We start from the raw sequence: 13,928 nt of genomic DNA, 5'->3' as shown, positions 1-13,928 counted from the left end.
CTGGAAATTAGAGAGGGAAAGACAAAGATAATCTAATTCCATGAGGTTATCATGGAGACCCTCCCTCAGTTTCATGCTTTCCTCCCCTAGACTTCTGTTATATAAGAGATAATCCTTCATGTTTAAGCCATTTTCAGTTGATTTTTCAGGATATCCCATATTTTCCCAATAAAAAGTACCTATAAAATATTTAAAGTTTCTGCTATTGGTAACCATTAAGTGATGCCTTGCTTTTGCTTGTGAATATAACCTGCAAGACCTATTTCAAAAGCAAGAATTCTAGAAGCAGGATAATAAAACAGCAATTACATCATTCAGTGGATGAGTCTTTGTTTTGAAACATTAGCCAGATACCATGTGGTCACCAGGCAGATTCGGTGAACAAGCATATCAAAATGACACATTCAGGCCTATAAAGGGCTAGTAGAAGATTTTGATACTAACCACTCCTTTCTGTACATGAAGATCAAGTCAGAATATGTTTTGTTTTTCTCTTTGTCTCATTTTTAACCTTCTATTGTCACTCTACTGCAAATAGCAACAATATATATATCAGAGAATTATCAGTTAATGAACCAGTACCAAAAGCATTCTAACTAAATATTTATTAAAAATGTATGACCTTATTATTAATACATTGAAAAAAACTAAAAAATATATTTAATTTTTAAAATCTGGAAAATTTCTACATTACATCTTTACTCTCTCTCTATATATATGTATATGTATTTTAAAACATATATCCATATAGAAAACATATATTTCACTTCATAAATCTAGGAATTTGGAACATAACCCAAAAAGCACTGGCTTATTATACAAATAATTTGGGTCAAGATATCTCATTTCATGTTTCTTAGTTATAAAATATTTTGGTTGTGAGTAGATTTGAAAGAGCATGCGAATGCAAAAACTACTTATTAAAATCAGAGCATCCAAATCATGGTGGCAGTGAACGTTCAGCAGCATCTGAGGAAAATGCCATATCCATCATAGTCACATTCATAAATTTCTTTTGATTAGGCTTTGCAATCTTCAATGGAAATTTTCAGGGCCATTGAAAAAATCTCACACGTATTTTTTCTGTCTCAATCTTAATTCTTCAGAGAATAAATAAGGAAAGTGAATAGCTCTGTTAGGCATTTCTCAATCATCTTTAAATGGGTCATGGTTTTAAATAGGATGTGTCAAATTGAAATTATATGAACTAAATTATACCTAAGTTACACTGTACCGTCTGCTTAATGACTTCTTTACAGGGGGTCAGTGAGTCATCAACTATTAATTGCAATTCGTCTTTGAAACAGTCAAAATCAATGTATATTTTTCACTAAAGTGAAAGTCAAATAACTAGCCTCAAGAAACACTGAAAAAGAGGTAACTAAATAACAGTCATAAATATTCAGTATCTATAAGCAAACAAAAAAAATCCAGTTTTAATGTCAGATATATAATTTATTGCTAAATTCAGTCTCTTATATTTTGTTTCATGAATATGTACTTATATCAAAGATATATAATTCAAACTATCAAATCACTGAGATATCTATGTCCTTTAAATTTTTCTGGGACTTATATTTTCCTGTGTAAAGCCTATATTTCATATAGTTATTTTATATCCACAGAGATGAACTCACATTCTATCTTATTTTGACAGATCATTTTACTTTTTTTTTGTTTTATCATTTTCCTTTTCCTTTTTGCTCAATTGCACACTTTATTTCAAATGCTCAGTTTTATACTTAAAGTTTTAGTATGTACACTTGACTAAACAAATTCTATAGTAATAAATTTCTGCACTCTTTGTGGGCAACGTAAAATATTATTTCATGACTTCTCAGCCATCTCTCTTCTAACATGTCATTGTGCCCTGTGTCTTAATTTCACCACTTTTCCCAACAAAATATCCAGTATAGAATATTTATAGATCATCAATATTTGTTTAGATTCACCACTATTTGTGCAGTTTCTGATCTCATTAATCATTCTAACACATCATAGGAGGATCTGTGTCTACTTTCTGAAAGGTAATAAAAATAAAAAAAATTTATTGAATAATGTTCTCCTAGCCTTCGGCACTTTGTTCAACATTTTTTTTATTTGGCCATCAAAAATAGTATCATTAATATTTTCAAAATTATAAATAATAATTTGAAATTATCATTATTTGGATATATAATTCTAGGTGGAGAATTATTTTCTGCCAGCATTCCTTCTAAGAAATTATCCAGCTCTGTGTTTGTTGGAAATTTTGTTTCACCTTGTTGCTGTTTCTTAGTAAGCAATCTAAATGAGTATTAGATTTAAAAATTAATCTTCATATCTAATGCTGGATAGTTTCACCATAATGTATCTAAGATTCATTTAACAAATGTCTGCTAAGTATATGCTTGGTGAGAGACACAATTTTGGAATACACAGGTACAGTAGTTTTGAAAACTGTGCTGCCTGAGGTGAGGACGGACATCTTCCACCAATTCTGGAAAAACTTCAGCTGGTGGCCGGATACGGTGGCTCATGCCTGTAATCTCAGCACTTTGGGAGGCCTAGGAGGGAGGATCACAAGGTCAGGAGATCGAGACCATCCTGGCTAACACGGTGAAACCCCATCTCTACTAAAAAATACAAAAAATTAGCCGGGCTTGGTGGCGAGCACCTGTAGTCCCAGCTATTCGGGAGGCTGAGGCAGGAGAATGGCGTGAACCCGGGAGGCGGAGCTTGCAGTGAGCTGAGATGGCGCCACTGCACTCCAGCCTGGGTGACAGAGCGAGACTCTGTGTCAAAAAAAAAAAACAAAAACAAAAACAAAAAACTTCAGCTGGTATGTCTTGATTAGTATGGCCTTTTTCACACTATAATTCTTTAAACCTTTTGTTAGATATATCTTAGATGTTCTTATTATATATCTGCACATTTCTAACTCTCATATTCTCTGAATTCTAAACTCTCTGCAGTAAATCTTTGATCATGTTTTTAATTTATTTCTATAAATTTTCTCTTGGAACAAACTTAAAGTAACTTTTAGGTTATTTATTTTGGATACTGTTATTTTTTACTGTAAATGTTCATAGCTATGTGTTTCACTCTGAAAACTGCTTTAGTTTTTTGTATACTTTTTACCATTTTATATGTACATTATATTCATCTCAAAGCATTTTCAAACCTTTCTTGTAATTTCTTCGACCCACTGCTTATTTAAGAATCTGTTGTTTGATATCTGCATATTTGTAAATTTCTCAAATTTCCTTTTGAGGATTTTTAAAATTTCATTGAGGTTGAAGAATATAATTTGTATTATTGCAATTTTAAAAAATTTTATTGAGGCTTTTAAAAATGTTCCACGTGCACTTTAAAAAAGTATGCTTTCTGCTTTTGCTAAATGGAGTGTCCTATAGATAGATGTGTGTTACAGTTAGTTGTGTGTTAAAATCTTTGCCTTTATTGCTCTGTCTCCTTGTTCTATCCTCATTGAAAGAGGTATTAAAATCAACTACTACTGTTGAATTGTCTATTCTTTCCTTCAATTCTGTCAATATTTATCTAAAGTATCTTTGGATTCTGTTGTTAAATGCTTAGATAAATTTTATATATTCCCAAATCTATTGACTCTTAGCATTATGCACTGTCCCTCCTTCTATCTAGCAACATTTTTTAAAATTTTATTTTTGTTATTTGAGATGGAGTCTTGCTTTGTCACCTAGGCTGGAGTGCAGAGATGCTATCTCGGCTCACTGCAACCTCCGTCTCCCAGGTTGAAGCGATTCTCCTGCTTTAGCCTCCTGAGTAGCTGGGATTACAAGCGCCTGACACCACGCCCAGCTAATTTTTTGTGTTTTTAGTACAGATGAGGTTTCACCATGTTGGCCAGGCTGGTTTGAACTCCTGACTTCAAATGATCTGCCTGCCTTCACTTCCCAAAGTGCTGGGATTACAGGCATGAACCACTGTGCCCAGCCTTTCTAGCAACATTTTTAAAGTTTCACTCCAGGTCTCACGATTGCTTTTTGCACAGTATATCCTTTCATCCTTTTATTGTAAATACATTTTTATTTCTGATTCTGAAGTACCTCCCTTGTAAACATATAGCTGGATATTGATTTTATTCATTGAAACTCATAATCTTTGACTTTTAATTATATTGTTTAATCTATTCACATTTAATGTTGTAACTGATATGTGGGAGTGATATCTAATATATCATCCATATTTCTATCTCTTTCTATATCCTTCATGTGTCTTTGCACTTCTGTTTCCTTTTAACTGTTTCATATTAAGTGGATATATTCTAGTATAATACTTAATTCTTTTAGTGATTTTTAATAATATTGCTTAGATATTTTCTTAGTGATGGTTTCAGGTGTTAAATATGAATATTAACTTCCATACAATTTAGATTATACTGACTTAGCTCCAGTGTAACACAGCAGTTTTATTTCTGTTTTATTTCTGTAGAGCTTAATTCCTCCCCTCCTTTTTGTATGTTATCATCTCATACATAGTGGGCCCATAGGTGTTACAACCCCAACAAACATTATTAGTTACCATTTCTATTTCTCTTCATTTCTCTCTGGAGATCTGATACAAGGGCCAGGCATGGTGTCTCACGCCTATAATCCCAGCAATTCAAGAGGCCGAGGTGGGCGGATCACTTGAGGTCAGGAGTTGGAGACCAGCCTGACCATCATGTTGAAACCCTGTCTCTACTAAAAATACAAAAATTAGCTGGGCATGGTGGCAGGTGCCTGTAATCCGAGCTACTCAGGAGGCTAAGGCAGGAGGCTGCAGTGAGCCTAGATCATGCCACTGCACTCCAGCCTAGGCGACAGAGTGAGACTCCATCTCAAAATAAAAATTAAAAAAAAAAAAGGATCTGATACAAGTTCTTCACTCCAATGTAGTATGCTTTGTTTCCATCCACATTCTTTGTGCTGTTATTGTCAAATACATTGTATTTTTATGTTAATGGCTCAATAAATATAAATATGTAAATGTTATTTCATACAATTGCTTTGAAAATCAACTGAAAAAAGAGTAGAAGAAATATCAATTATACTGCATCTTGTATTTTTTATAGTGATCTGTGTAACTATATAATTATATTTTATAGTGATCTGCATAATTATCTTTACCAGTATTCTGCTTTTTATCATGTGATTCTTTTTTCTTTAGACAGAGTCTCACTCTTGCCCAGGCTGGAGTGCAGGGGCATGGTTTTGGCTCACTGCAACCTCCGCCTCCTGGGTTCAAGTGCTTCTCTTGCCTCAGCCGCTCGAGTAGCTGGAATTACGGGTGCACACCACCACCCCTGTTAATTTTTGTATTTTTGGTAGAGAAAGAGTTTCTGCATGTTGGTCAGGCTACTTTAGAACTCCTGACCTCAAACGATCCACCCGCCTCAGCCTCCCAAAGTGCTGGGATTACAGGTGTGAGCCACCATGTCCGGCCTATCATGTGAATTTGAATTGCTGTCTACCTATCACTAGCTCTCAGCCTGAAAACCTGCTTGCCTATTTTGTGTTAGCTGGGATTGACAACAACACATTCACTCAGCTTTTGTTTATCTGGGAATGTCTCTCTTTTGTCTTCAGTTTTGAAAATCATTTTGTTGTACTTAAGATCTTTGCTGACAGATTTTTTTTTGGCTGGTTTTAATTTTAACATTTAACATATTATTCCATTGCCTTCTGACATGTATTTTTTTCTAGTTGGAAATTCACTGTTAACTTGGGCTTTCATTACAAATGATAAATAGTTTTCTTCTTGCTATTTTCAAGATTTTCTCTCTCTCTTTGGCTTTCAACATTTTACTTGATGTGTCTGATTTGGATCTCTTTGTTTTCATCCTATTGTACTGTGTTGAGCTTCTGGGTTTGTAATTCCTGTTTTTCATCACATTGAAAAGGTTACAATCGCTTTATCATTAAATATTGCTTCTTTTCCTTTCTTAGTCTTCACTATCTCTCTATCTAAACTTATATGTGTGTATACATATATATATTTACATATATGTGTATGTGTGTGTGTTTGTATATACATTACAAATACATATTTGTATGCAGACAATGAACCTCACTGACTCATATGTGTCCAAAATTCAGAGCAACAAAAAACAAAACAAAGCAGAAAAAGTGTGTTTTTATTGCTATTATTGTCTCTTATTTTAAAAATTGAAATAATGTCAGCTCTTAATCTTCTGCATTAAATGCCATCGAAATGGTATAACTCAGAATATTCTTTTAAAAAAACAACAATTCAAGCTCTTAGAATCTGATCAATATCTCTGAGTGTTACTAGCCTAAGGGAGAAATCTTAATCTACATCATAGTGCTAAAATGTCATAGCTCTTTGACATTAAAAGCTTCCCCAGTTTTCTAAAGAGAATTATCCCAGTGATAGGGCAAGGTTCTCTTATTTGTCAGATCCTGTACAACTTTAAAGATTAGATGTCAGGGACATAGTGCCATAGAGATTCCTCCATGCCTCTCTGCCACCCCTCACAAGCAACTGTCTCTCTATTATACTCTGCTTAGGGAATCTCCCTTTTATAAACAACTGTATTGTTTTCTATTGCAGCTATAAGCACTTACAACAAACTTTCTGGCATAAAACAACACAAACTTATGACCTTACAGATCTGGAAGCCAAAGGTCCAAAATATGTCTCACTGTGCTAAAATCAAGGTGTCCACAGGGATGCATTCATTTTTGGAAACTCTAGGGAAGAATCTGTTTTCTTGCCTTTTCCAACTTTGAGAGGCTGCCCAGATTCTTTGGGTCATGATCCCATTTTATCCTGAAAACCAGCTATGGACAATTGAGTCTTTCTCACATTGCATCACTGTGATACTAACTCCCCTAACTCCCTCTTCCATATTTTAGGGATCCTTGTGATACATCATGCCTACCCAGATAATCCAGTATAATCTTCATTTTTAAAGGCCAAATTCCCTCTGAACCCTTAATTCCCTTAAGCGATGTAACACAATAACATATTCACAAACTCCAGAGATTAAGAGCTGGATATCTTTGGGGGCCTCTTATTTTGCTTACTGCAGTACTTTTGACTTTCTCCCACACATTTTTCTAAACAGAAACATTGGTATTTGATTAAACTTGAGGAATGGATTGTTCAATACTACCTCAAGTGAAAGTCCTGTTTAAGTCACCTAATGCTTTTACAATAAATAACATTTGGTCTAATGGTCCAGATTTAGAAATTCAGTAGATTTCTAAATCAGACCTAGAAATTCACTTTGGCATTCATGCATGTTTCAGAACTATGATATTCAGAAACTCAAATATTTCTACCCTTGATTTGTATTTCCTGAGTTGATGTTTTTATTTTAGATCATATCAGTTTCAGTTTTTTATATTCTTACTTTAAGTATAGCCATCTATAGTCTTGTGAAATTTTCATAAATCACATTTTTTTTTTCAGAGTGGGAAAGCAAACTGTATGTTTGAAAAGAGGATTTGAAAAAAAGGCAAATGGAAATTTGACAGTAAATGCATTTAATGGGAAAAGAAAAATATGCCATATTTACTTACTTAATACCTGGTATGATTTGGTTGTGTCTCCACTCAAATCTCATCTTGAACTATAGCTCCCACAGTTCCCACATGTTGTGGGAGGGAACTGTTAGGAGGTAATTGAATCATAGGGGTGGGTCTTTCCCATGCTGTTCTCATGATAGTGAATAAGTCTCATAAGATCTGATAAAGAGGTGTTTCCCTAAACAAGTTCTCTTCTTTTGTCTAACGCCATGTGAGACATGCCTTTCACCTTCCACCATCATTGTGAGGCCTCCCCAGCCACGTGGAACCGTGAGTCCATGAAACCTCTTTCTTTTGTAAATTGCCCAGTTTCAGGCATGTCTTTATCAGCAGCAGCATGAAAACAGACTAATACAATACCCATCCCCCTTTATTTAGGTTATGTGATATAGTAATAGGAATGAATGAGCATGTGATTCCTCATTTACTTCCTGCATTGAGAAATTTTATTAACCATTAAATCCTTGTCTCCCCTCAATTTTTACTAAAACCAATAATTTTACAAATGTTTAAAAATATCTCAGGCAGAGATCATTAAGAAGATCTTCCATATTTTCTTTAATGATTACTTTTATTCTGATAAATGTCACTGCTTTAGGAAGGCTTTGAAAATTCCCATAGTGTGTGTAGGTATATTCACATATTTTTTAAAGGAGGCAAATTCATGAGATTAATTAAACATTTCACTTCATTTTATGTTTCAATATTAACATGTCTTGTCAAAGGAGCTAAAAGTTGGGCAACTGTTATAATAACAAAGTCCTATTTGTTTTTGTTGTTGTTGTTGTTAACAAATAACTCGTCATATTAGTCCATTTTCATGCTGTTTATAAAGACATACCTGAGACTCGGAAGAAAAGGAGGTTTAATTGGACGTACAGTTCCACATGGCTAGGGAGGCCTCAGAATCATGGCAGGATATGAAAGGCACTTCTTACATGGCGGCGGCAAGAGAAAATGAGGATGCAAAAGCAGAAACCCCTGATAAAACCATCAGATCTCAGAAGACTTATTCACTATCATGAGAACACTATGAAGAAAACCATCCCCATGATTCAAATTATCTCCCACCAGCTCCCTCCCACAACACTTGGGAATTATGGGAGTACAATTCAGGATAAGATTTGGGTGGGAACTCAGAGCCAAACCATGTCATTTGGCATTTGTAAATATTTGCATAGGGAGAATTAGAAAAATGATAATTTACCTGTTATGGTCTGAACATTTGTACCTTTCCAAAATTCACATGTTGAAACCCTAATCCCCAAAATGATGGTATTAGGAGGTGGGGCTTTCGGGAAATGATTAGGTCATTGGAGTAAAGCCCTCATGAATGAAATAAGTGACTTTATAAAATAAGTCTGAGAGAGACCTCCCCCCAAGCTGTTCCGCCATTTGAATTTATAGTAAATAAACAGATGTCTATGGACCAGCAAGTAGGCTGGCCCTCACCAGATACCTAATCTGCTGGTGCCTTGAAACTTCCCTGCCTCTAAAACTATGAAAAATAAATGTCTGTCATTTATAAGCTACATAGTATGTATCAATTTATTACAGCAATTCAAACAGACTAAGAGAAAATTAGTACTAAAGAGTGGGGGTGCTCTATGCTATAACATATACCTAAACATATGGAAGTGGGGATGTTTTGGGATTGGGTAGTGGGTAGAGGCTAAAAGAGTTTCAAAGTGCATGGTAGAAAAAGTCAACACAGCTCTGAAAGGATCTTTAGAATGTGAGTCTGGTGTGAGCTCTGAAGGAGAGGAGAAAAGCTGTAGAGAAAGCTGGAATTTTCTTAGAGACTAAATAGTTAAGAATATAATGCTGGCAGAAATAAGCTTGGTAAAGGTCACACTGATGAAGTTTCAGGTTGAAATGAGGAACATGTTATTGGAAAATGGAGGAAAGGTCACTCTTGTAATAAAGGAGTAAAGAATTTGGCTGAATTTTCCTCATGTTTTCAGGAAAGTAGAAATTGTAAGCATTGAAGTAGAATATTTGGCTGAGGAAATTTCTGAGCAAAGTATTGGAAGAGTGGCCTAGTTCCTCTTGCCTGCTGATAGTAAAATGTGCGAAGAGAAAAATGATTTAAAATTGATTGTAATCAAAAGGGAAGCAGAACTTCAAAATCTTGAAAAAAATTCAGCCTATCTACATTGGAAAACATGAGGAAACCTGTTTGGGAGAGAACAAGTGTGGGCCAACCAACTGTTGGATAAGTAGATTAGTATGGATAGGCCACCTCAATGGAAGGTAGGTGCTATTCATCAAAAATAATGAAAGGGTTATGCTGCCATCTAAACAGAAGCCAGGGCTTATTGTAAAAGGCAATGGAAGAATGACCCTGAAGGCATTTTAGAGATTGTCTATGCTGCCATTCCCATCACGAGCCCAGAATTCCAGGGTCTGGGGGGCAGAAGTTTATCAAAAGAGAGACCACCACTGATTATAACAGCCTCCTCACATTGCAGTCTCCACTCCCCGCACTCTGCAGTTCTCCTCCTCAGTCACCCCACCAGTGAAATCAGCAGCCTTAGCGAAGTGTGTATTTCACCCAGGAAAGCAGAGGGGATGTGACTAGATTTCAAAGGATGCCCTGAGAGAGCTAGAAGAAGGTCCAGGCAGAGAACTGCCATAGGGATGGGCCCACTTCAGAGAACTGCCATGGGGACAGGCTATCACAGAGAGCACCAACTAAGGTAATGCCAGCAGAGCCATGGGGGCAAGGCTGCCTCCATGAACCCAGATTTCAGCACTGGAGAGCTGCAGCCCTTACAATTTGATATATATTGCCCTGTTGGTGTTGGACTTGATCTGGGCCTGTGTGTATATGGATGCACATACATACATGCATGCATCCATATCTATATCTACATAAACATATATACATATAAATAATATCAGATTTTCAGCAAACATGAGGTGTGTGTATTTTAGTTCCTTGCATGTCATCTCAGAAATTGAGGTCACAGGAATAGATTAAAACAGGCTCTTTTTTGTCTTCAATATTTTATTCTCAGAAAAATCTTACTTAACTACTCTACACCCTGATCTATATTCTCTTCATGTTGTCAATGATTATGTTGTACTCCCAATTTCCAGGACAGCAGAACAGATATGCTTTTTTTTTTCTTTGTGCTTTAAATGCTACAAATGAAAATTACTGGTTTAAGACACAGTTTAATTTGTAATCACATTTGGCTTTGCCAAATTAATGAGTATATTCTAATTGATAAATGCTGCAATTTTTTTCATACTAAACACTTGTCTCTTTCTATCCACAATTTTATTTCTAAAATGTTATGTTTTAAAGCAAAGCTTCAAAAAATAGGTGTTTCTGTATGAGTGGTATATGTATGCAAGTCTATGTGTTTAATTTTTTTCCAAAGGAAAAATTAAGTGTTCCTAATTTTGTGCTTGAAATACAGAAATACATTTTTTTTTGCATACAGATGTCTACTTCTAAAACTGATAAGCCCATGTGTCCTTTTTTTAACCTAAATCAGCTTATAATATCGTTGATCATACCACATTGCTAAAGGTCAAAGCACTTTTTAACAGATGTATAGGTACTTTAATGTCAAGTCAGAAAGAAACATGCTCCCTTATTATAAAATATTTACTAACAGATAAAATATAACACCCACACAGATACTGAAATGTTGTTCTAATGATTAGCCATCCTTTTATTAATTAGTTTATTTTTGAAGCCCTTTGTATAAAGATGGCTAGATCCCCGGAAAGCTGGTAAACTTTTTAGATTTATTTTTATCTATAATCACATCCAAAAACATTGCCAGATGTATTAGGCTGTTGTTGCACTGCTATAAAGAAATACCTGAGACTAGGTAACTTATAAGAAGAGATGTTTAATTGGCTCACGGTTCTGCAGGCTGTGTAGGAAGCATAGTGATATCTGCTTCTGGAGAGGCCTCAGGGAGCTCTTAGTCGTGGCATAAAGTGAGGCAGGACCAGGCCCGTCACGATGAGACCAGGAGCAAGAGAGAGATGGGCGGAGGCACTACGCACCTGTAAACAATGAGATCTTGTGAGAATTCACTCACTATCACAAGAACAGCACCAAGGGGATGGTATTCATGAGGGATCCACCCCCATGATCCAATCACCTCCCACCACACTCCACCTCCAACATTGGGGATTACAGTTCAACATGAGATTTGGGTGAGGTCACATATCCAAATTATATCACCAGATTAGGATTTTTGTTTTGTTTTAAGCAGTCTTTATATTCAAGGACAAGTGAGGAAGACTTCCTCAAATAGTTTTTGTTTTAAGTAATCTGACCTAATTTGGGGAAAGAAATGAGAAGTTCTTCTACAAAAGTGATTGATTCTCCACTAAATTGTTATAGTTTCATGAATCCTAAAAATGGGTTTATGCTATAGAGATTTGATATCTCCTGTACACCACTCTCAGGTTGGCCCTCTCCATTACAAGGCAAGGAAGGGGAGGAAATGGACTCAAATCTCTCAGCCTCACCTCTATCCTTTCTGACTCCAAGAGGTGATGGAGAGAGGAAGGAAAGGAAAGAGAAGGCAAGCATGACAAAACTTCTCTACCTTTGAGTCATTTTTAAAGCCACAAAAGGTGGAATTCAGCTATCTTCATCAGCAAAATGAGATGGGTGATGAGTGGGTTGGCCAGATGACAAATTGCTAAGCATCTCTCTCACTAAATGTTGTATACGTAACCTCCACAGCTCCAGCAAGCTCTCAGGAATATAACCCAAGGGTCCATGCATATAAGCTAAGGAAATTTTATAATATTTCTCCATTTACTTCTCATATCTTCAACAATAAGTTATATGAGGTACCTGCCAAAAGCAGAGGTAACTTCTATTTTTTAGTATTTTAAAATAATTAACAAAGTATACATTTTATAAAACTAAGAGATCAAACATTGAATTATTACAATGCTTATCTATTTCCTATTCAAAAAAAATTGCATCATATTATATCTTAACACACTGAGTTTCACATTTTTCTGGGGAAATTTTCTTATGTAGAGTTGTGAGGAGTTTCAGAACCTCACTGTTGGAGGGCAAGTGACCACTGGTTTTGCATGTGACCTACTGTGTTCTGCAAAAGTACAGCACATTGTCTGCACATTTCTAAACATTCATGAATCAAAACGAAGGAACAGTGATTACATCCTTTTATATATTTTTAAAAGGTTTCACTTCTATTAATGACATGAAATATTCAACAGAAAAATTTAAAAATTATTTCACACGAGAGATATATGCATTTCATATTTCTTATATTGTAATAAATAAAATAGGTTTTGTGGAGAATGGTAAACACAATATTTGTTGTGACTTTCTTGACTTTAATAGTCAATACTAAATTTACTTAGCTTTTATTATAGGCTTTTTCCACAAAAAGAAGAAAGAATTATTATGTGACTATTTGAGTGTCAAGGGGCTTGCTTCAGGTGTATAAGAGGGAATTGTCTAAGCTTAATTTCTCTTTAATTTTTCTGAAAATATTTTACACAGGATCAAGAACATCTTGATAAAGAAAAGAGAGTGTTCTTGTGCAAATGCAAATAACGACATAAAAATCATCTCCCTTGTCAGCGAGAAATGTTCTACTCAGACAGAAAGTAAATGTTTGCCTACAATATCTCATACTTAGAAATGGATTGGATATAAATACATCAAATTTCCATTCTATAAATTATCCACATGAAGTCCTAATATTTACCTCCATTATGCATTGCTGGAGTAATAGGAAGTACACACAGCCAAAGTTATGTTTATTGAAACCTCTTTTGTTACTTCTGCAATCTACCTTATCAAGAAGAGTCTTGCATAAGAACCTTGGTGGCAATAGCTCTGAAGTGATCATCTGATCCAAATATATATTTACTGCATTAAATACATTTTATTTAACTCAGAAAATTAAAAATATACAAAATGCAGATTACAAGTATTAGGGAGGATGTGGAGAAAAGGGAAAGCTTGTATTTTGTGTGTGAAACTGTAAATAGTACAACCACTACAGAAAACTGCATGGAGGTTCCTCAAGAAGCTAAAAATTAAATTACCATATGATCCAGCAATCTGATTTCTGAGTGTATGTCTAAAATACATGAAATCAGCATGATGAAGAGATATCTGCACTTCAGATATTGAAGTATCATTCATAACAGCCAAGTTACGGAATCAACCAAGTGTCCATCAGAGATGAATGAATAAAGAAAAGGTGGTATATATATACAATGGAATATTATTCAGCATTAAGAGAGGGAAATTCTGTCATCTGCAACAAAATGAATAAACCTGGAAGACCAATATGCTTTGGCCCTGTGTCCCCACTCAAATCTCATCTAGAATTGTAATCCCCACATGTC

At 35.2% G+C, this 13,928-nt stretch overlaps 1 long non-coding RNA gene across 1 annotated transcript in view; it reads right to left on the bottom strand.

The window, feature by feature from the left end:
* Window positions 1-13,928, bottom strand: part of LINC02241 (long intergenic non-protein coding RNA 2241) — a 325,854-nt gene that overhangs the window by 189,157 nt on the left and 122,769 nt on the right. Inside the window, exon 4 of the long non-coding RNA NR_149120.1 lies at window positions 11,436-11,582. This is a non-coding gene — a long non-coding RNA (long intergenic non-protein coding RNA 2241). The remainder of the gene's footprint in view (window positions 1-11,435; window positions 11,583-13,928) is intronic.

The sequence above is a fragment of the Homo sapiens genome, chromosome 5, assembly GCF_000001405.40.
Source record: "Homo sapiens chromosome 5, GRCh38.p14 Primary Assembly".
Lineage (NCBI taxonomy): Eukaryota > Metazoa > Chordata > Mammalia > Primates > Hominidae > Homo > Homo sapiens.
The sequence above is the reverse complement of the archived record's forward strand: the minus strand, read 5'-3'. Positions and strand labels throughout refer to the sequence as shown.